The sequence below is a fragment of the Homo sapiens genome, chromosome 1 (genome assembly GCF_000001405.40).
Source record: "Homo sapiens chromosome 1, GRCh38.p14 Primary Assembly".
Classification (NCBI taxonomy): domain Eukaryota; kingdom Metazoa; phylum Chordata; class Mammalia; order Primates; family Hominidae; genus Homo; species Homo sapiens.
Genome location: NC_000001.11, coordinates 31,158,710 through 31,182,160, shown reverse-complemented (window position 1 = coordinate 31,182,160; position 23,451 = coordinate 31,158,710). Strand labels below are relative to the sequence as shown.

The 23,451-nt window shown below is 50.7% G+C and overlaps 1 protein-coding gene across 1 annotated transcript in view, besides 4 other annotated features; it reads left to right on the top strand.

Moving 5' to 3' along the window:
* The window catches only part of NKAIN1 (sodium/potassium transporting ATPase interacting 1), a 60,143-nt gene extending 57,727 nt beyond the window's left edge, over positions 1-2,416 (top strand). Inside the window, exons 6-7 of the mRNA NM_024522.3 lie at positions 220-301; positions 449-2,416. Coding sequence (NP_078798.2) covers positions 220-301; positions 449-458 — 92 coding nt within the window. The 3' untranslated portion in view covers positions 459-2,416. The remainder of the gene's footprint in view (positions 1-219; positions 302-448) is intronic.
* Positions 298-547: a silencer, noted in NCBI's record as "silent region_566". NCBI's record gives its function as "represses an Ori minimal core promoter by ATAC-STARR-seq in GM12878 lymphoblastoid cells {active_cell/tissue: GM12878}" and the evidence as "EXISTENCE:reporter gene assay evidence [ECO:0000049][PMID:35858748]".
* Positions 11,005-11,254: an enhancer, noted in NCBI's record as "active region_640". NCBI's record gives its function as "activates an Ori minimal core promoter by ATAC-STARR-seq in GM12878 lymphoblastoid cells {active_cell/tissue: GM12878}" and the evidence as "EXISTENCE:reporter gene assay evidence [ECO:0000049][PMID:35858748]".
* Positions 14,784-15,283: an enhancer, noted in NCBI's record as "H3K4me1 hESC enhancer chr1:31639725-31640224 (GRCh37/hg19 assembly coordinates)". NCBI's record gives its function as "activates a minimal SCP1, AML or CMV promoter by ChIP-STARR-seq in naive H9 embryonic stem cells {active_cell/tissue: H9 hESC(naive)}" and the evidence as "EXISTENCE:reporter gene assay evidence [ECO:0000049][PMID:30033119]".
* Positions 17,850-18,349: an enhancer, noted in NCBI's record as "H3K4me1 hESC enhancer chr1:31636659-31637158 (GRCh37/hg19 assembly coordinates)". NCBI's record gives its function as "activates a minimal SCP1, AML or CMV promoter by ChIP-STARR-seq in naive H9 embryonic stem cells {active_cell/tissue: H9 hESC(naive)}" and the evidence as "EXISTENCE:reporter gene assay evidence [ECO:0000049][PMID:30033119]".

Genomic DNA, 23,451 nt, shown 5'->3' with positions numbered 1-23,451 from the left:
CGCCTCCAGACCCCCAGAGGCCCATCCCTCAGGGTCCAGCCGAAGCCCCGCCCCAGGCCCTGCACGGGGTCTGACCCTCGCCCCTCCCCTCCTCATGGCTTCTCTGGCTCCGCTTCCTAGGGTGGGAGTCCTGCCCTCAGATTCTTCCCCTTCAGGACCCAGTCTCCCTCTCCTCGCCCCCGCCGCCGATCCCTAACATGCGCCGCCCCTCTTCCGCAGTTGACTTCATCGGCGGCTTTGACTCCTACGGATACCAGGCGCCCCAGAAGACGTCGCATTTACAGCTGCAGCCTCTGTACACGTGGGTCACGGCCCCCTGCTGGCTTGGGGAGGCCTGGGCGTCGGGGTTGCGAAAAGGAGGGGATGGAGGAGTGGGCAGGGCAACCGGGTCTCTCCGCCCCCATACTTTTGGGATCCACTCTCCCTAACCTGCCTTTGTTTCCCGCAGGTCGGGGTAGCCTCTGCCCCGCGCCCACCCCGGCGCCTCGCCCTGGGCTGACCGCAGCTGCCGCGAGCTCGGGCCAAGGCGCAGGCGTGTCCCCCTGGTGGCCCGCGCGCTCACTGCAGCCTGTGCCCAACCCCGCGTCTGCATCTGGAGATGCGGACTTGGACGTGGACTTGGACTTGGACTTGGATTTGAGCTTGGCTCTTCGCAGCCCGGACTTCGGAGGAGTGGGGCGGGGCGGGGGAGGGGCACCACGGGTTTTTTGTTTTTTGTTTGTTTGTTTTTAATCTCAGCCTTGGCGTGAGCTGGGGCCTTCCTCTCTTCTCCAGCCTCTCCCTTTCACTCTTCACCCAGCATCCTGCCCCCCTGTCCAAAAACAGCAGGACATCAGACCCATCCCATCCCACCACACTCACTCACCAGCTCTGGGGAAAGCTACTGTGAACTAGGAGCAGGATTCCTGGGTTCTAATCGCAGGTCCATCACTGACTGTGACGTCTAGCAAAGCCCTTGCCCTCTCTGAGCCTCGGTTTCCGCACCTCAAGTAATTAATCCCTTAGCAAATGGACTCTTTTAGACTTCTCATTTAACTCAATTCCCTGAGCTAGACTGGGATTAAAATTCTCATTTTGCAGTACATTAAAACTGAGGCCCAGAGATGTGATTTGCTTGAGGCCACACAGCTAGATTTTTGGTGGAAGTGGGCCTTGAACACAGTGTACTTTCTGCAGTTTCTGACTGTAAAACCCAGTGTCTGCTCTCTGAGTTCCATTTCCAAGCCCCCCTCCATCTTGGACCTATGTGGTCTCCACCATATTCACACACCACCACCACCACTTGCCAATGCCTCTCTTAAAGCAATATACCCATTCGTTCTCTTATTGGGAACTGGATGGATGAAGCCCCAAATTCAGCCCCACCCACAGAGAAGCCTTCCTACACTCAGCCTCTGTCCACCCTTGGCAAATCTTTCAAGCTCTCTCCTCCAGGAAAGTGGGGCCCCAACTCAGTCACTCCACCCCCTTCCAGGTCCCTGAGGCTGGTTCTACTGTATCCCCATCACCTCCACAACTCCACTCACCCCTGACGGCTCCATCCACCTCACCAGTTGGAAGGCTTGTGGTTTCAGAGAGGAGCAATGCTGGTCAGCGCTGCCCAGACTCCAGTGTTTACAGATCACCAGCATTTACAACCAATCCAATGGCCAGAAGCCTCCTCTAACAAGCCCAGAAGGAGTTCTGAAGGGGCAGATGGGGGTGTGAGTAGTCGGGGAGTCGGGATTGCCAGCACCCTCACCCTTCCTTGGGGGCAAGTAGAGGTGAGAACACTTTCCCCACCTCCCTCCACAGACACTCCTGAGGACGCTGCATCCCACGCACTGCCTGGTGCGTCCATAGAGAGAGGATCAGGTCTCAGCATTTCATCTGTGAAAGAGGCATGGCCCTGGGTTAGAAAGGAGGGCAGGAGACATGGAGGAACTGGGGGGCACCCAGATGGTGCAGATGGTTTGCACACCTGAGCCTGTCTGTGGTGACCATTCCGCTCCTCTCCCACTACCCTCCAATCTATCATTCCCTACTCTCTAAGGCCAAAATATCCTGAGCAAGGCTGGCAACCCCACCCCACCATCCCAAATGCAAGCAGCCAGGCCCAGGAGTTCCTCTGGCCCCCACAGGCATGGAGCTCCCAGCTGGTGGGTACAGCTTGAGAGGGGGGCAGCTCCCTCAGGCTAAGCTACTGCCCTTCACTGGGCCAGCCCTGCCTCCAGCCCTCACCTCTCTCACCCCAACTCTCCCCCAAGCCCCTTTCTACTCAACGGGTGTAGCCACTGGTGCTTTGAAGCCTTTTGTTTTTATAAGATGGTTTTTGCAAGGGGACCAGGTTCTCTTTTCACTGGGACCTTGCAAGGAGGGGAGTGCTCTCCTGGTTTCTGTGCAGGCGGGTTGATTAAAGATGGTGTTTTCTTCTCTATCTTCCTGTCCTGCCCATTGGGTCTATAGAACTTTCTAAGTGAGAAGTCCCTGCATGAGGGCAGGCAGGAATGATTTGATGTTGATGTTATCAAATATTCCTGGGGTGGCCAGGCACGGTGGCTCATGCCTGTAATCCCAACACTTTTGAAGGCTGAGGTGGGCAGATCACGCGAGGTCAGGAGTTTGAGACCAGCCTGGCCAACATGATGAAACCCTGTCTCTACTAAAAATACAAAAATTAGGCAGGGCCGGGAGGCTGAGGAAGGAGAATCACTTGAACTTGGGATGCAGAGGTGGAGTGAGCTCAGATGGCGCCACTCTACCCCAGCCTGGGTGATAGAGCAAGACTCCATCTCAAAACAATAAAAAAGAAACAAATCCTGGGGCACTGGCCTGTAACTCTGACTGGGTGTGTAGCTTTAGGCAACTCACTCTCCCTCTCTATACTCATCCAAAAAAAAAAAAAAAAAAAAGCAGAGGTCAAACAAAATCAGTGGGTTCCCAAATGTGGCTTCATAATCCCTTAGAGATCTTCCTACTTATTTTCCTGATAAAATGCATTTTAAGTTTATGCTTTCAAATATCCTTTGCATCTTGGCTCTTCCTGAGAATTCAGTTCCGGGTGTGGAATGAAGTGACACACAGTGCTTTAGACACGGATTCCTGCATCCAACCTTTGATATCCTGGATACTTTTCTGGGGATACAGCGCAAGAATCAGTATTTAGAATGTTTTAATTTGTGTGTCGGCAGGTATGTGGGTGAACGGGTAATATGTATATAAGGTACAGAAGTCAGAAGGTCCCAGTGGGATTATATACTCATACCTTTTTTTCATATCTTTCTAAGGATAGGCCTTTTTTAAATTATACAATTTTTGGTCAGGCATGATGGCTCATGCTTGTAATCCCAGCACTTTTGGAGGCAGAAGCAGGAGGACTGCTTGAGCCCCGGAGTTCCAGACTCACCTTGGGCAACATAGGGAGACCTCATTTCTTTAAAAAAAAGAAAAATGTAAAAATTAGCTGAGCATCGAGTGGCACATGCCTTTAGTCCCAGCTGCTCAGGAGGCTGAGTCAGGAGGATTGCTTGAGCCCAAGAAGTTGAGGTTGCAGTGAGAGCTGAGATTGTGCCACTGCACTACAGCCTGGGAAACAGAGTAAGACTGTCTCAAAAACAAACAAACAAAATTACACATTTTTTTGTTTTTCACACAAATGGCAACATATTCTACTTACTCTTTGACCCCCTGCTTTTTTTCCCCCCCCTTGAGATAGAGTCTCACTCTGTCTCCCAGGCTGAAGTGCAGTGGCGCAATCTCAGCTCACTGTAACCTCCGCCTCCTGGGTTCAAGCAATTCTCCTGCCTCTGCCTACCGAGTAGCTGGGATTACAGGTGCCTGCCATCACACCTGGCTAATGTTTGTATTTTTATTTTATTTATTTACTTATTTATTTATTTTTGAGATGGTGTCTCGTTCTGTTGCCCAGGCTGGAGTGCTGTATTTTTAGTGGAGATCGGGTTTCGCCATGTTGGCCAGGCTGGTCTCGAACTTCTGACTTCAAGTGATCCACCTGCCTTGGCCTCCTAAAATGCTGGGATTACAGGAGTAAGCCACCACACCTGGCCTCTTTCACTTAATCTTGGAACTCCTCCCCCAATAATTCCTGTGGAGCATCCTCTTTTTCTTCCATGGTGACAGGTCTTAATGCAGCTGGCAGGTAAGAATCAGAGGTCCTTAAATAATGATGCCCCAGGTCAGTTATGCAAACCCCTGTGGACCACTCCTGACCATGGGGTCCAGAGGAAAATAAGCCACAGACACAGAACCTCCAAGGAGCTTCTGATCTTCTGCTGATAGCGGGCAGTCAATGCTGAGGGCACAGAGTAGAGTGAAAGGCAATCATTAATAGGAGTTCAGGAGAGAGATCTGAGTGCCCCAGCAGAGGCAACAGCATGAGCAAAATGGTGGAGGTAGGAAAATACATAGTGGCCGGGTAAGAATAGTTGGAGACGAATTGGTTGGAGAAGGCTTCAGTAGATAATATATTTGTTTATATTCGTTTCCTATTTCTATTTTTCTTTTTCTTTTTTTTTTTTTTAAATTGATCATTCTTGGGTGTTTCTCGCAGAGGGGGATTTGGCAGGGTCATAGGACAATAGTAGAGGGAAGGTCAGCAGATAAACAAGTGAACAAAGGTCTCTGGTTTTCCTAGGCAGAGTGTTTGTGTCCCTGGGTACTTGAGATTAGGGAGTGGTGATGACTCTTAACGAGCATGCTGCCTTCAAGCATCTGTTAAACAAAGCACATCTTGCACCGCTCTTAATCCATTTAACCCTGAGTGGACACAGCACATGTTTCAGAGAGCACAGGGTTGGGGGTAAGGTCATAGATCAACAGGATCCCAAGGCAGAAGAATTTTTCTTAGTACAGAACAAAATGAAAAGTCTCCCATGTCTACTTCTTTCCACACAGACACAGCAACCATCCGATTTCTCAATCTTTTCCCCACCTTTCCCCCTTTTCTATTCCACAAAACCGCCATTGCCATCATGGCCCGTTCTCAATGAGCTGCTGGGCACACCTCCCAGACGGGGTGGCCGCCGGGCAGAGGGGCTCCTCACTTCCCAGTAGGGGCGGCCAGGCAGAGGTGCCCCTCACCTCCCGGACGGGGTGGCTGGCCAGGCGGGGGGCTGACCCCCCCACCTCCTTCCCGGACGGGGCGGCTGGCCGGGCAGAGGGGCTCCTCACTTCCCAGTAGGGGCGGCCGGGCAGAGGCGCCCCTCACCTCCCGGACGGGGCGGCTGGCCGGGCGGGGGGCTGACCCCCCCACCTCCCTCCCGGACGGGGTGGCTGGCCGGGCGGGGGGCTGACACCCCCACCTCTCTCCCGGACGGGGCGGCTGGCCGGGCAGAGGGGCTCCTCACTTCCCAGTAGGGGCGGCCGGGCAGAGGCGCCCCTCACCTCCCGGACAGGGCGGCTGGCCGGGCGGTGGGCTGACCCCCCCACCTCCCTCCCAGATGGGGCGGCTGGCCGGGCAGGGGGCTGACCCCCCCACCTCCCTCCCGGACGGGGCGGCTGGCCGGGAGGGGGGCTGACACCCCCACCTCCCTCCCGGACGGGGTGGCTGCCGGGCGGAGACGCTCCTCACTTCCCAGACGGGGTGTTAGCCGGGCGGAGGGGCTCCTCACTTCTCAGACGGGGCGGTTGCCAGGCGGAGGGTCTCCTCTCTTCTCAGACGGGGCGGCCGGGCAGAGACGCTCCTCGCCTCCCAGATGGGGTCGCGGCCGGGCAGAGGCGCTTCTCACATCCCAGACGGGGCAGCGGGGCTGAGGCGCTCCCCACATCTCAGACGATGGGCGGCCGGGCAGAGACGCTCCTCACTTCCTAGATGGGATGGCGGCCGGGCAGAGACCTCTTCACTTTCCAGACTGGGCAGCCAGGCAGAGGGGCTCCTCACATCCCAGACGATGGGCGGCCAGGCAGAGACGCTCCTCACTTCCCAGACAGGGTGGCGGCCGGGCAGAGGCTGCAATCTCGGCACTTTGGGAGGCCAAGGCAGGCGGCTGGGAGATGGAGGCTGCAGCGAGCCGAGATCACGCCACTGCACTCCAGCCTGGGCACCATTGAGCACTGAGTGAACGAGACTCTGTCTGCAATCCCGGCACCTCGGGAGGCCGAGGCTGGCGGATCACTCGCGGTTAGGAGCTGGAGACCAGCCCGGCCAACACAGCGAAACCCCGTCTCCACCAAAAAAATACGAAAACCAGTCAGGCGTGGCGGCGCGCATCTGCAATCGCAGGCACTCGGCAGGCTGAGGCAGGCGAATCAGGCAGGGAGGCTGCAGTGAGCCGAGATGGCGGCAGTACAGTCCAGCTTCAGCTGGGCATGAGAGGGAGACCGTGGAAAGAGAGGGAGAGGGGAGACCGTGGAAAGGGGAGAGGCAGACGGAGAGGGAGACGGAGAGGGAGAGGGAGAGTCCAATGCACCTCTTTTTCTTTTTTCTTTTTTTTTTGAGATGAGAGACAGGGTCTTGCTCTATCACCCAGGCTGGAGTGCAGTAGCATAATCATGGCTCACTGCAGCCTTGCCCTTCTAGGCTCAAGCGATCTTCCCTCTTCAGCCTCCTGAGTAGCTGGGACCACAGGTGTGTGCTCAGGAGGATAGCTTGAGCCCAGGAGTTTAAGCCTGCAGTGAGCTCTTATCATACCACTGCACTCCAGCCTGGGTGACAGAGCAAGACCCCAACTCTCCCATCTCTCTCTCTTTCTTATTTATTTATTTATTTATTTATTTATTTATTTTTTGAGACAGAGTCTCACTCTGTCACCCCAGGCTGGAGTGCAGTAGCTTGATCTTGACTCATTGCAACCTCTGCCTCCCGGATTCAAGCAATTCTCGTGCCTCAGCCTCCCATGTAGCTGGGACTACTGGCATGTGCCACCACACCCAGCTAATTTTTGTATTTTTAGTAGAGACAGGGTTTCGCCATGTTGGCCAGGCTAGTTCTGAACTCCTGGCCTCAAGTGATCCGCCCATCTCAGCCTCCCAATGTGCTGAGATTACAGGCATGAGCCACTGCAGTTGGTAAAGACCCAATCTCAAAAAAAAGAGAGTTGTATCTAGGTTACAGCAGTCCTGATTGTTGAATCAATGCATCAGCCTGAGTGATAGCGATGGGGAACCATTGAAGGATTTCCATCACAAGCTAATCAATTAGAGCCATACTTTAGAGAGAGTGGGCAGGGCTGGAAGGTTAGGCTAGAGGAGGAAAGCAGGAAGCAATGTTCTGTCTGCAAGAGGCCTAGCGTGTCTCACTTCTGCATGTAGGCATGTGTCTCATGTGTGTGATGATGAGCACTCTGTGTATTAACTTGGGAGAGCTAGTACAGTAATAATCAGCATGAACTGCAGGAGTCAGGCAGACCTGGATCCAAATATTAAATTCCCCACTCTGGAACCAGTTGAGCTAGTCCTCCCAGGCAGTCCAGTGGATGTTCCCCCAGCTCCTGCCATCCTGAGGCCATCTTCCAACAACTTCTGCATATTAAAATAATCCAGGTAGGGCTGACCATCTTCCAATAACTGCCGAGTCATAAAGGTGCCCATGGCATTCTTTGAAGCAATGAAATGTGAATTGACCCATGGTGCATTTGACAAGCACAACAGTCTACTGGGACTTAGGGACATAATGTTTTCTTCAGTGCATTGGAATGTGAGTCTTGCAACTTCTAAACAGATTAGGGATGAAGTAGGTCCTGACACCAAGGCCTCATTCCTTTCTAAGAAGATTCATTATTCCAAAGGGCCAGGGCAGTCGTTTTCAATCTTACAGAATATTTTTTTTCTTTTTTGGAGATGGAGTCTCGCCCTGTCACACCCAGGCTGGAGTACAATGGCGTGATCTCAGCTCACTACAACCTCCACCTCCTGGGTTCAAGCAATTCTCTTCCCTCAGCCTCCCGAGTAGTTGGGATTACAGGTATGCGCCACCACGCCCAGCTAATTTTTGTATTTTTAGTAGAGATGAGGTTTCGCCATGTTGGCCAGGCTGGTCTTGAACTCCTGACTTCAGGCGATCCACCCACCTAGGCTTCCCAAAGTGCTGGGATTACAGGCATGAGCCACCATGCCTGGCCCAGTCTTGCAGAATTTAAGAATCCCTTAAAATCCAGATTCCTGAGCCCCAATTACTCTGAGACACACTGAATCCAACATCCCCTAGGCAGTGATGGGAATCTGTGCTTTTCACCAGTGCCCCAGGTGATCCAGGTTTGGGAAATCTTAGGCCCTGGTGAAGAGGCATTCAAACAGCTTTGAAACCCACCTATGTCACTGTCTTCAAGACGCTGTCAAATTATGCCTGCCAGCTCCCTCATATCAAGAGCTGGCTTTAAGAGTATTTTCTCAAGCCAGGTGCGGCAGCTCACGCCTGTAATCCCAGCACTTTGGGAGGCTTATGCAGGTGAATCACAAGGTCAGGATTTTGAGACCAGCCTGGGCAATATGGTGAAACCCCATCTCTACTAAAAATACAAAAATTAGCCGGGTGTGGTGGCAGGCACCTGTAGTCCCAGTTACCCAGGAGGCTGAGGCAGAAGAATCACTTGAACCCGGGAGGCGGAGTTTGCAGTAAGCCAAGATCATGCCACTGCACTCCAGCCTGGGTGACAGAATGAGACTCCATCTCAAAAAAAGAAAAGAATATTTACTCAAAGCTGGCCGGTGCAATGGCTCATTCCTCTCCCAGCACTTTGGGAGGCCAAGGCAGGCAGATCACCTGAGGTCAGGAATTTGAGGCCAGCCTGGCCAACATGGTGAAACCCAATCTCTACTGAAAATACAAAAATTAGCCAGGTGTGGTGGCACGCATCTGTTGTCCCAGCTCCTTGGGAGGCTAAGGCAGGAGACTCACTAGAATCCGGGAGGTGGAGGTTGCAGTGAGCCGAGATCACGCCAGTGCACTCCAGCCGGGGCAACAGAGCAAGACTCTGTCTCACAATATAAAAATAAAATAAGAATATTTTCTCAAAGCTGAATTACATTTAAGCTTAATTTTATTTATTACTGACAATCTGAAAATTTTTAAAAATGGATTAGCCATTTCAAAGGCTATAACCCAATTCCTGAAATTGAGCATTGGTTTAACTTCACCACTAGATTAGTTTGGTCAAAGACTGGGGTCCTGGTGTAACCGCCCAGTGAATTCTTCTTACCCACTGCCTAGACAGTGCCGATTTATCAAGACAGGAAAATTGCAATAGAGAAAGAGTAATTCATGCAGAGCTGGCTGTACAGGAGAACGGAGTTTTGTTACTCAAATAAGTCTCTCTGAAAATTCAGAGATGGGAGTTTTTAAGGATAATTTAGTGGGTAGGGGCTCAGGAAGTGGGGACTGCTAATTGGTCAGGTTGGAGATAAAACCAACAGGAACCATGAGGTTGAGGTGAGTTTTTCTTTCTTTTTTTTGAGACAGAGTCTCACTCTGTTGCCCAGGCAGGAGTGCAGTGGCACGATCTCGGCTCACTGCAACCTCCGCCTTCCGGGGTCAAGCAAAATTCTCCTGCCTCAGCCTCCCTAGTATCTGGGATTACAGTCATGTGCCCACCTAATTTTTTTGTAATTTTTGTAGAGATGGGGTTTCACGTTATGATCCGCCTGCCTCGGCCTCCCAAAGTGCTGGGATTATAGTCGTAAGCCACCGCACCCGGCCCCTATGAAGTGAGTTTTTCATGCTGTCTACTGTTTCAGGGTGAGATCAAAGAACTGGTTGAGCCAGATTATGGGTCTGGATGGCGTCAGCTGGGAACAGCAAGGTCTGCAAAATATCTCAAGCACTGATCTTAGGTTTGACAACAGTGATGTTATTCCCAGGAGCAATTTGAGGAGGTTCAGGCTCTTGCAGCCAGAGCCTGCATGGTTCTTAAACCGTAATTTTTTTTTTTTTTTGAGACTGAGTTTTGCTCTGTCACCCAGGCTGGAGTGCAGTAACAGGATCTCGGCTCACTGCAACTTCCGCCTCCCAGGTTCAAGCGATTCTCCTGCCTCAGCCTCCTGAGTAGCTAGGATTACAGGCGCCCACCATCATACACCCAGCTAATTTTTGTATTTTTAGTAGAGATGGGGTTTCACCATGTTGGCCAGGCTGGTCTTGAACTCCTGACCTTAGGTGATCTGCCCGCCTTGGCCTCCCAATAAACCATAATTTCTAATCATGTAATTTCTTTTTTTCTTTTTTTCTGAGACGGAGTCTTGCTCTGTCACCCAGGCTGGAGTGCAGTGGCGTGATCTCAGCTTACTGCAAGCTCCAACTTCCGGGTTCACGCCATTCTCCTGCCTCAGCCTCCCGAGTAGCTGGGACTACAGGCGCCTGCCACCGTGCCCAGCTAATTTTTTGTATTTTTAGTAGAGATGGGGTTTCACCGTGTTAGCCAGGATGGTCTTGATCTCCTGACCTCGTGATCTGCCTGCCTCGGCCTCCCAAAGTGCTGGGATTACAGGCGTGAGCCACCGTGCCCGGCCAATAATTTCTTAGTCCTATGAAGGCAGACCGGTCCCCAGGCAAGAAGGGGGTTTATTTCAGCCGGGTGCAGTGGCTCACGCCTGTAATCCCAGCACTTTGGGAGGCCAAGGTGGGTGGATCACGAGGTCAGGAGATCGAGACCATCCTGGCTAACACGGTGAAACCCCATCTCTACTAAAAAAATACAAAATTTAGCCGGACGTGGTGGCAGGCACCTGTAGTCCCAGCTACTGGGGAGGCTGAGGCAGGAGAATGGCGTGAACCCGGGAGGCAGAGCTTGCAGTGAGCTGAGATCGCACCAGTGCACTCCAGCCTGGGCAGCAGAGCAAGACTCAGTCTCAGAAAAAAAAAAGAAGGGGGTTTATTTCGGGAAAGGGCTATTATAATTTTTGTTTCAAAGTTAAAGTATAAACTGAATTCCTTCCCAAGGTTACTTTGGCCTACACCCAAGAATGAACAAGGGCAGCTTAGAGGTTAAAAGCAAGATGGTGTCGGTTAGGTCAGATCCCTTTCACTGTCATAATTTCCTCAGTTACAATCTTTGCAAAGGTGGTTTCACGTGAAGGGAGGGGGTCCCACGAATGGGGAGGCAGTCTGAGCTCTCTGCCTGTCCCTCTTCCGGCCTCAGCCTCAGTCACCCAGAGGAGGTGGGGGCAGTCCCACTCTGCCCCACCCCTAACCAGGCGATGGAGGCCACACCCTGCCTTGGGCCTCAGTTCCAGTGACTCAGCAGTTCCCCTCAGTCAGCCCTGGAATGAGACTGAGCAGGCCCAGGCCAGCTGGAGCTCCAGGGAGCCTTGTGTTGGGTATCCGACACTACTGTTGGCACTAGTTCTTTCTCTGTCAACAACCTGTGACCTTGGGGAACTACTCTCACTCTGCTCTTGGTGATGTCATCTGTGAAATGAGAGGGCTGGACTTTGCTTGCATGATACTCATTGGCTGCTTTACTGCTGACATTCTGGGATAGAGCTTCTCAACCTTCACTATACTTGGGATGCCTTTCTAAAATACAGATACAGCTAGGCACAGTGTCTCATGCCTGTAATACCAACACTTTGGGAGGCTGAGGTCGGCGGATCACTAAAGGCCAGGAGTTCAAGACCAGCCTGGCCAATGTGGCAAAACCCCGTCTCTACTAAAAATACAAACATTAGCCAAGCGTGGTGGCCCACACATGTAATCCCAGCTATGGGGGAGGCTGAAGCATGATAATTGCTTGGACCCAGGAGGCGGAGGTTGCAGTGAGCTGAGATCGCACCACTGCCCTCCAGCCTGGGCAACAGAGCAAGACTCTGTCTCAAAAATAATTTATAATAATAAAATAAAATATAGATTCCACTAGGCTCAGTGGGGTGCACCTGTAGTCCTAGCTACTTGGGAGGCTGAGACAAGAGGATCCCTTGAGACCAGGAGTTTGAGTCTAGCCTGGGCAACATAGTGAGATCCTGTCTCCTAAAATAAAGTTTATAAACATATATACGTATAAATTTTTTAAATAAAATACAGATTCCTGGGCTCTACCTGCGTAACAGGTTATAATTCATTGGAACCTGGAGCCCACGCATCTGAATTCATCCTTCAAATGTTTATTAAGCACCTGCTATGTGCCAGAAATTGTGAATAAGCAGTGAACTAAACAGACAGTAATCCCTGCTCTTGGTGAGGATGTCTCCTGGGAGGATGCACACCATAAATAAACAAGGGGCCTGGGGAAGTGGCTCACACCTGTAATCCCAGCACTCTGGAGGCCAAAATGGGAGGATTGCTTGAGCCCAGAAGTTCAAGGCCAGTCTAGACAACATAGCAAGATACTGTGTCTACAAAAAATTTAAAAATTAACCAGCTGTGGTTGCACATGCCTGTGGTCCAGCTATTCAGGAGGCTGAGGCAGGAGAATCACTTGAACCTGGCAGGCAGAGGTTGCAGTGAGCCAAGATCGTGCCACTGCACTCCAGCCTGGGCAAGAGAGTGAGACTCTGTCTCAAAAAAAAAAAAAAAAAAAAAAAAAAGAAAAGAAAGAAAAAGAAAAAGAAAAAGAAAAAGAAATGCTTAATGAATACCTACTATGTTCCAGGAACTGTCCTAGATACTGGGCTACAGCAGTGAACAGGACAGACAAGGCCCTAGATTTCTTTCTTACAGCTTACCTACTGGACAGAATCAACATAAATGCTCTTGTTAGTCTTCCTAACAATCCTAAGAAAGTAAGTTCTATTACCACCAGCTTATAGATGGAGAAACGAAAGCTGGCATAGATAAAGTCACTTACCCAAGTCTACACAGCTAGTAAGTGGCAGCATCCGCATTCAAGTCCAGCCTCTCTGACTCCTGAGCTCAGTCTCTAACCACTGAACACATATTGTTTCACGGCAAATTCCTTTGCATTTTTTTCTTAACATTCATGGGGAATTCTGATGCCTAGCCAGAGCCATGAACCACTACCCTAAAACTTGGGGGACTCTTAATTTTTTATTGCTCGCATAGCAAATCACCCCAAAACAGTGGCTAAAACCAACAAACATTACTTCCCACAGTTTTTGTGGGTCAGAAATTCAGGAGCAGCTTAGCTGAGTGGTGCTGGCCAGAATCTTTCATGAGATTGCAGTTAAGACTTAGGAAGCTGGGTGTGGTAAAAGCACACCTGTAATCCCAGCAATTCAGGAGGCTGAGGTGGGAGGATCACTTGAGTCTAGGAGTTCAAGGCTGCAGTGAGCTATGTGATTGTACCACTGCCTCCCAGCCTAGGTGACAGAGTAGGACCCCATCTCTAAAAAATGAATTTTAAAAATTAAAAAAGGGATGGGAGTGGTGGCTCATGCCTGTAATCCCAGCACTTGGGGAGGCTGAGGTGGGCGGATCACTTGAGGTCAGGAGTTCAAGACCAGCCTGACCAACATGGTGGAACCCCATCTCTACTAAAAATACAAACATTAGGCCGGACGCAGTGGCACATGCCTGTAATCCCAGCACTTTGGCAGGCTGAAACAGGCAGATCACAAGGTCAGGAGATCGAGAACATCCTGGCCAACATGGTGAAACCCCGTCTCTAGTAAAATACAAAAAAAAAAAAAAAAAAAAAATTAGCCAGGCATGGTGGTGGGCACCTGTAATCCCAGCTACTTGGGAGGCTAAGGCAGGAGAATCGCTTGAACCTGGGAGATGGAGGTTGCAGTGAGCTGAGATCATGCCATTGCACTCCAGCCTGGGTGACAGAGACACTGTTTCAAAAATAATAATAATAAAATAAAAATTTTTAAAAGTTGGGCACGGTGGCTCATGCCTGTAATCTCAGCACTTTGAGAAGCCAAGATAGGCAGATCACTTGAGGCCAGGAGTTTGAGACCAGCCTGGCCAAAGTGGTGAAACCCCATCTCTACTAAAAATATAAAAATAATTAGCCGGGCATGGTGGCGGGCGCCTATAATCCCAGCTACTGGGAGGCTGAGGCATAAGAATCGCTTGAACTCAAGAGGTGGAGGTTGCAGGGAGTGGAGATCACACCACTGCACTCCAGCCTGGGCAACAGAGTGAGACTCTGTCTCTGTTTGTTTGTTTGTTTATTTGTTGTTCTTGTTGTTTTGAGATGGAGTTTCCATCTATAGCCCAGGCTGGAGTGCAGTGGTGCCATCTCGGCTCATTGCAACCTCCGCCTCCCAGGTTCAAGCGATTCTCCCACCTCAGCCCCGCCGGGGTAGCTGGGATTACAGGCACGTGCCAACCACACCCGGCTAATTTTTGTATTTTTAGTACAGACAGGGTTTCTCCATGTTGGCCAGTCCTTATTCCTGGGGAGAGCCCTCAGACTGGATGGGGAGAAACTTAATACAAAAAAAAAAAATACAGAATCAATGCTCTAATGGCAGTAGGATTCCAGGGCGGGTGGAGGCTCATGGTGGAAGCACAGAAGAGGGCAATCAAGGGAGTCTTCACAGAAGAGGTGGCACCTGAACTAAGACTTGAAGGATGAAGAGGAGTGTATTTGGAAGACACGCGTGGGGAGAACAGCATTCTAAGCCAAAGTACAGCTTGTTCAAAGAGGTCAAACAGCACAGGGGTGTGATAGAGCCTAGCATGTTTTGGGAATTTCAGAATTAGAAGGAACCTGATACCGTTGAGTGGAAACCCCATGGCATCTCCTAATAATAGTAATGGCCAGCATTTTCAGAATGCTGAAATTGCCAGCACTGTGCTAAGCACTGTGATTAGACTGTCCAATTTAATCCTCACAATGACCCAAAGAGGTAGATACTATTATTATCTGCAGTTCATAACTGAGGAAACTGAGACTCCGAGAGGTCAAGTACCATGTCCAAGGTCACACAGTAAGTTGTAGGGCTAGGACCTAAATCAAGATCTTTCTGACGTAAAATCCTGTGCTTTTAACCTCTGCACTGTACTACATCTACATTGGTAAGTGGCCCTGTGGCCTCAATTTGCACAACTGAAGTGACAGAAAGCCTGCCACCTCTCTGGCAAGGACACAGAGGCTGTGGGGTCTTTCACAAACATCCCAGTCCTGGAAAAGCCACCAGCCTAACTGAAGCAAGAGGTCAATAGACGAAAGACACTAACTGTGTTTTTTGGTTTGTTTGTTTGTTTTTTTGTTTTTTGAGATGGAATTTCACTCTAGTTGCTTAGGCTGGAGTGCAATGGTGCGATCTCAGCTCACTGCAACCTCCACCTCTCAGGTTCAGGCTATTCTCCTGCCTCAGCCTCCCGAGTAGCTGGGATTACAGGCACCTACCACTATGCCCAGCTGATTTTTGTATTTTTAGTAGAGACACGGTTTCACCATGCTGGCGAGGCTGGTCTCAAACTCCTAACCTTAGGTGAGCCGCCTGCCTCGGCCTCCCAAAGTGCTGGGGTTACAGGCGTGAGCCACCGCGCCCAGCCCTAACTGTGTTTTAAGCCAGTAAGCATTTACTGAATATACCTTCAATACCATCTGCCCAAAGAGCTCTGGTTAGAGGCAGGACAACCAGCCCTGTTAACAGCACGGCTGGTGGCTGCAGGGGCTACAGGGAGGAGCGACCTCTCCTGGGTGGGGAGTCAGGAGAGGCTTCCTGGTGTGACCCAGAGGGAAGGGCGTGCATTACTTTAGATCAGAGTTTCACAAGCTCAGCAGTGCTGCCATTTGGAGCTGGGTAGTTCCTGGTTGTGAGAGGCCATCCTGTGTTACTGGAGGACGTTTAACAGCATCCCTAGGCTCTAGCCACAACACGCACCCCCCACCCCTGGTTGTGACAACCAAAAATGTCTCCAGACATTGCCAAATGACCCTGGAGGACAACACTCACACTTGAGAACCACTGTTCTAGGCAGAGGAAAGACAGTTAGTAAAGTTACCATGAAGGAAAAGTGAGCCTTTAGATCTTGAGCCTTATTTTTCAAATCTGTAAAATGACATAATATATCAGAGCTACTGTGATAATTAAGGAGAATGTTTATAAGCCACCTGACACATAGTATGTCCCCAATAAACATTAGTTCTTTTCTACTACAGGACAATGACAACCCCTGACCCCTGGTCTTAACAAAAACTAGACTGTGACCTTTGAGCTTCAAACTAGGGCCTCAGTGTCTCTGCCTGTAAAATGGTGTTTGAGTTAAAGTGGAGAATGTAAACTAGATCAGCATTCCCACCTTTTTTTTTTTTTCCTGAGATGGAGTCTCGCTCTGTTACTCAGGCTGGAGTACAGTGGTGCGATCTCGGCTCACTGCAACCTCCCCCTCCTGGGTTCAAGATATTCTCCTGCCTCAGCCTCCCCAGTAGCTGGGATTACAGGTGTCTGCCACCATGCCCAGCTAATTTTTGTATTTTTAGTAGAGACAGGGTTTCGCCGTGTTGGCCAGGCTAGTCTTGAACACCTGACTTTAGATGATCCACCTGCCTCGGCCTCCCAAAGTGCTGGGATTACAGGCATGAACCACTGCACCCGGCCACTCCCACCTTTTTTTTTTTTTTGAGATAGGATTTTGCTCTCTTGCCCAGGTTGGAGTGCAGTGGCACAATCATGGCTCACTGCAGCCTCGACCTCCTGGGCTCAAGTGATCTACCTCAGCCTCCCGAGTAGCTGGAACTACAAGTGTGCACCACCACACCCAGTTAATTTTTTTCTTTCTGTAAAGATGGGGTTTCACCAGGTTTCCCAGGCTGGTCTCGACCTCCTGGGTTCAAGCAATCTTCCCATCTCGGCCTTGTTGTGCTGGGATTACACGCATGAGCCACCTTGCTCAGCTGCTCCCCACTTTCTACCATCCACAACCAGGTCCCATTTTTAAAAACAGAGTATTGGTTAAGAGTTAATTAGTTTTCCATTTGCCAACAACAGCTGTCCCAGCAGCTCTGCTGGGCAGGACACACTATGTGACATCCTAGAGAGCTGATGATAGCCCCCAACAGAGATTCTTCTGTGGGCCTGAGCAACCTCTTCCCATTTAACTATGGGATGGTTCTCTGGATTTCAGAAACATCACACTGGCATGAGGACCCCAGTCTGCCATCACAGGTTACCAAATATTAGATTAAGAACCACAGCTTTGGCTGGGTGTGGTGGCTCACGCTTGTAATCCCAGTACTTTGGGAGGCTGAGGTGGGTAGATCACGAGGTCAGGAGATCGAGACCATCCTGGCTAACACGGTGAAACCCTGTCTCCACTAAAAATACAAAAAATTAGCTGGGCATGGTGGGGGGCACCTGTAGTCCCAGCTACTCCAGAGGCTGAGGCAGGAGAATTGCTTGAACCTGGGAGGTGGAGGTTGCAGTGAGCTGAGATCATGCCACTGCACTCCAGCCTGGGAGACAGTGAGACTCTGTCTCAAAAAAAAAAAAAAGAATCAGAGCTTTAGTGGCCGGGCACAGTGGCTCATGCCTGTAATCCCAGCACTTTGAGAGGCTGAGGTGGGTGGATCACCTGAGGCCAGGAGTTCAAGACCAGCCTCTCCAACATGGCGAAACCCTGTCTCTACTAAAAATACAAAAATTAGCTGGGCATGGTGGCAGATACCTATAATCCCAGCTACTTGGGAGGCTGAGGCACAAGAATCGCTTGAACTCAAGAGGTGGAGGTTTCAGTGAGCCAAGATCATGGCATTGCACTCCAGCCTGGGCAACATGAGCGAAACTCTCTCTCAAAAAAAAAAAAAACACAGCTTGGGCTGGGGGTGGAGGGGTGGGGGTGACTCACACCTGTAATCCCAGCACTTTGGGAGGCTAAGGCGGTCAGATTGCTTAAGTCCAGGAATTCAAGACCAGCCTGGGCAACATGGTGAAACCCTGTCTCTCTGAAAAAATACCAAAAAATTAGCTGGGTGTGGTGGCACATCCCTGTAGTCGGAGCTACTCAGGAGGCTGAGGTGGGAGAATCACCTAAGCCCGGGAGGTTGAGGCTGAAGTGAGCTGAGGTGGTGCCACTGCACTCCAGCCTGGGCAACTGGGGTGAGACCCTGTCTCAAAAAATAATAAAATAAAATAAAATAACCACAGCTTGGTTGGTGATCTGTGACGAGACAGCAGGGGTCCCAAGCCCCCAACACCAGTGCCAACAAGCCCTGCAGCTACTGCTATTTGAATGCCCACTCTGTGCCAGACACTAGGCTGGAGTTTCACATTCGCCGCTGGCTCTTTCACTGATATCCATTTCACAGACAGGAAAACTGAGTTTTGAGCAATGACGTCACCTGCCGATGGACACCAGCTTTTTTTTTTTTTTTTTTGAGACGTAGTCTTGCTTTGTTGCCCAGGCTGGAGTGCAGTGGCGCCATCTCAGCTCACTGCAACCTCCATCTCCCAAGTTCAAGCAATTCTCCTGCCTCATCCTCCCAAGCAGCTGGGACGACAGGCGCATGCCACCACACCCGGCTAACTGTTGCATTTTTAGTAGAGACGGGGTTTCACCATGTTGGCCAAGCTGGTCTCAAACTCCTGACCTCAGGCAATCCACTCGCCTAGGCTTCCCAAAGTTCTGGGATTACAGGTGTAGCCGCCACGCCCGGTCGACACTGACTTTCAAACCCTCTCACCCTCCAGAGCGAACACACCCTGAATGCATCTCTGTCCCCCTCAGTATCCTGCCCTTGTGTCCAGAGAGAGTCCTTGGTGTGACAAGAGGTCTACACAGGTGGGGGGAATAAAACTCTGGGAGCCCAGCAAGGCAGATTGTTGCTGACAGGAGGAAAATAATCAACATTAAACCCTTACCAAGTCCTTACAACATGCCAGATGGACATTAACTCTCTGAATCTTCACAGCATCCTATTTTATAGATGAGGAAACGGAGGCACAGAGAAATTAAGAAAAATAAGGCCAGGCACGGTTTTAATCTCAGCATTTTGGGAGGCTGAGGCAGGAGATCACTTGAGCCCAGGAACTTGAGACTTGCCTAGGCAACATTGCAAAAACCTATCTCTACAAAAATACAAAAATTAGCGCCTGCCCGTAATTTCAGCTTTTGGGGAGCCTAAGGTGGGAGGATCACCTGAGCCCGGGAAAGTCGAGGCTGCGGTGAGCTGTGATCGTGCCACTGCATTCCGGCCTGGGCAACTAAGTGAGATCCTGTCTCAGTGAGAAAAGAAAAATGACACACACACACACACACACACACACACACACACACACACACACACAAAAGAAAAATGACACAGGTGGTAAATTTCCTAGAAAATAACCCGTTTGTTGAGCATCTGGCTGGGCATTTTTCCTAAGTGATATTGTTCAACCTCCCTACTATCTCCAGCAGAGGTATGGCCCGTGTTTACCATCGCTATCTCTTCCCTGTCTACACAATCTTAATCCGACTCAAATATCTCACTCTGCTCTTTCCATCAGAACACCAAAGAGAATGGGTGTCACAGCGACACCTGCTGGCTGGCGCTATATCTCCGCTGCCCCTAGACTTTTGTTTTGTTTTGTTTTCCAAAACGGAGTTTCGCTCTTGTTGCCCAGGCTGGAATGCAGTGGCGCAATCTCGGCTCACTGCAACCTCCGCCTCCCAGGTTCAAGAGGTTCTTCTGCCTCAGCCTCCTGAGTAGCTGGGATTATAGGCGCCTGCCACCACACCCAGCTAATTTTTGTGTTGTTAGTAGAGACAGGGTTTCACCATGTTGGCCAGGCTGGCCTCGAACTCCTGCCCTCAGGTGATCTGCCCACCTCGGCCTCCCAAAGTGCTGGGATTACAGGTGTGAGCCACCGTGCCCAGACTTTTTTTTTTTTAGAAGGAATTTCACGCTATCAGCTGGGCTGGAATGCAGTGGTGCAATCTCAGCTCACTGCAACCTCCGCCTCCCGGGTTCAAGCGATTCTCCTGCCTCAGCCTCTCAAGTAGCTGGGATTACAGGCGCCCGCCATTATGCCCAGCTAATTTTTTTGTATTTTTAGTAGAGACAGGGTTTCACCACATTGGCCAGGCTGGTCTCAAACTCCTGACCTCGTGATTCACCTGCCTCAGCCTCCCAAAGTGCTGGGATTACAGGAGTGAGCCACCACGCCCGGACTTTTTGTTTTTTTCTTTGAGACAGGGTCTCACTATATCACCCAGACTAAAGTGCAGCGGCATGACCACAGCTCACTGTAGCCTCGACCTCCCCCAGGCTCAAGCAATCCTCCCATCTTAGCTTCCTGAGTAGCTGGGACCACAGACACACACCACCACACCCGGTTTTTTTTTTGCTTTGTTTTTTTGTTTTTGTATTTTTAGCAGCAGCAAGGTCTTGCCATGTTGCCCAGTCTAGTCTCGAACTCCTGAGCTCAAACAATCCACTTGACTTGGCCTCCCAAAGTGCTGAGATTACAAGATCACAGGCATGAGCCACCACATCCGGCTGCCCAGCTAATTTTTGTAGTTTTTGTAGAGACAAAACATGCAGTTTGTCTGTTTTGGACCAGGCATCTAGACTGGGAGGAAACTATCCCTCCCTGCCAGTTGACTGGCCCCAACCTCATCCCCAGCACCTCCCCTGCGCACCCCTCCGGCCCCAGGAAGTTCAAGTCCTCCTGCATGTGTGATCATCCTTCTGCCTAACCAGAGCCCGCCGTCTCCCTCTCCATTTTTGGTCTTGGCCCCTGAAAGGTCATGGGCTTTGGACTAGACCAGGGGGAGTTCATATCCCAGCTCTGCCAATTGCTAACTGGGTAATCTTGGGCAACTCGTAATTTCTCAGAAGCTCAATTACTTCATTTGCAAACTGCCTCACCAGGCAAGGTTCTAGGAGGATCACAGCAGGTAATAGATGTAAAATTCCCTTTCTCTAGCATCCAGGCATTTGTGGGGTTTCTTCATTGTTGTTTGTTTTTTTTTTTGAGACGGAGTCTCACTCTGTCGCCCAGGCTGGAGTGCAGTGATGCAATCTCGGCTCACTGCAACCTCCGCCTCCCGGGTTCACGCGATTCTCCTGCCTCAGCCTCCTGAGTAGCTGGGACTACAGGCATGTGCCACCACGCCCAGCTAATTTTTGTATTTTCAGTAGAGATGGGGTTTACACCATGTTGGCCAGGCTGGTCTTGATCTCTGGACCTCATGATGCGCCCACCTCAGGCTCCCAAAGTGCTGGGATTACAGGCATGAGCCACCGCGTCCGGCCCGGCATTTGTGCTTTAACAATGCCTGAATTGAAGACCATCTTAATGGTGGGGCATAAGGCCTTGAGTTTGTGGAAGGGGCTGAGGAAGGAAGAGGAAAAACTTGGGGACATGAATGTCCTTTTTTCCCGCCCAGAGCCAGAGTGTGATACAGTAGGATTTGCCTCCAGACTACCTCCAAATCTTTGACCTTCTCAAGTCCCTTACCTCCTCTTGAAAGGTAACAGCTCAGCCAGGCGCAGTGGCTCACACCTGTAATCCCAGCACTTTGGGAGGCCAGGGTGGTTAGATCACTTGAGGTCAGGAGTTCATGACCAGCCTGGCCAACATGGTGCAACCCCATCTCTACTAAAAATACAAAAATTAGCCGGGCGAGCCGGGCATGGTGGCGCATGCCTGTAATCCCAACTACTCAGGAGGCTAAGGCAAGAGAATCGCTTGAACCCAGGAGGCGGAGGTTGCAGTGAGCCAAGGTCGTGCCACTGCACTCCAGCAATGAGACTCTGTCTCAAAAAAAAAAAAAAAAAAATTAACAGCTCCTGGATTACCATGGATGGGGATCGGGAGGTTTCAAGGCTCCAGGAGAGTTTAGGTTAGGGAAAGGTCAGTGGGGAGATGGAAGGAGTGGGGATGGGCTAGAGCCCTGGGAGTGACCCGGATGCTGAGTTTTGTCTCTGCCGAATGGCTCACTTTAGGCAGGTTAGCCTGATATTCTTAGCCTCAATACTCCCACCTGTAAAATGGCCCGAATAATGTGTACCTCAGAGTCATAGAGGGTAAGGGTAAGAGCTTTGAAAATTGTAAACAGTTGTGCACATGGGAAGACCTCTTATTATATTTTGGATGGCCTGAGACCCCCTTATCAGACCATACCCTAGAGCAGGCCTAGAGGGACTTGAGTCTGGGCTCTGACTCCCAATGGGGCTTACAGAGGTTTCTCCAGCCTGGGGCATCTCTGGAGGCTGCTTAGACTATTTTGCCAGCTCCAGCCTCTCTCCATTTGCCTCTGCAGCACTCGTCTGCCCACTTGGGATGGCCTATCCCACCGACAGAGCCTGGCCTGAGAAACAGCCACTATTTCCTTCTGCCTTCTCTCTACCATGTGATCTGCTTATCTCCCTGCGGCCTTTGCCTTTATGAGGCATCTCCAAGCCTCCACCACGATAAGCACTCCCATTCCCCAGAATTTAACGTGTAGCCTGCACTGCTGCTGTGCCATGGCCTGCACAGGGCTCAGGACTTGGGTTTAGCTGTGCAAGGGCTCAGGACAGCTTCAAGGAATTTAGGAGACATAGTCCCCAAGACTGCTTTTTTAATGCTGGAGCCGTTGGGAAGTACACTCTCTCTTCAGGGACCCAGAGCTATAAAGTCAATGAAAGCCTAAAACTGCTTGTAGCCACAGTCATCTTTCTGTTTTCTTTTCTTTCTTTCTTTCTTTTTTTTTTTTTTTTTGAGACAGGGTCTCACTCTATTGCCCAGGGTAGAGTGCAGTGGCACAATCATAGCTCACTGTAGCCTTGAATTCCTGGGCTCAAGGAGGGATCCTCTCACCTTAATCTCCTGAGCAGCTGGAACTACAAGTGCAAACCATCATGCTCAACTAATTTTTTTCTTATTATCTTTTGTAGAAATGGGGTCTTGCTATGTTGCCCAGGCTGATTTCAAACTCTCAGCCTCAAGTGATCCCCCCCCCCCTTAGCCTCCCAAAGTGCTAGGATTTACAGGTGTGAACCACTGCACCTGGCCCTAGAACGGCTAGTAGCCATCTTGCTTGGCTGCCTGTAAGAGAGAATTGAGGGATAACGAGAGACATGGAGCTGTGAAACCTTCTCTTGAGCCCCTGGGATCCAGCCATACTTAACATACTTCAAAACATACTTCCGGCCAGGCACGGTGGCTCATGTCTGTAATCCCAGCACTTTGGGAGGCCGAGATGGGTGGATCACGAGGTCAGGAGATCGAGACCCCTGGCTAACATGGTGAAACCCCGTCTCTACTAAAAATACAAAACATTAGCCAGGCATGGTGGCAGGCACCTGTAGTCCCAGCTACTCGGGAGGCTGAGGCAGGAGAATGGTGTGAACCCGGGAGACAGAGCTTGCAGTGAGCCGAGATCGGGCCACCGCACTCCAGCCTGGGTGACAGAGTGAGGCTCTGTCTCAAACAAACAAACAAACAAACAAACAAAAACATACTTCCAGAGTTTGTCAGTAAATCTTCCCCTCCCTGCTCCAATCCTCTCACCTCAGCCTCCCAGTAGCTGGGACTACAGGCATGTAATGTCACCCCTCACCCTGGCTTTTTTTTTTTTTTGGCAGAGATGAGGGGTCTCGCTATGTTGCCCAGGCTGCTTCTTAAACTCCTGGGCTCAAGCTATCCCTGTAGGCCTCCCAAAGCCTGGAATTACAGGGAAATTTACTACAACAGGCC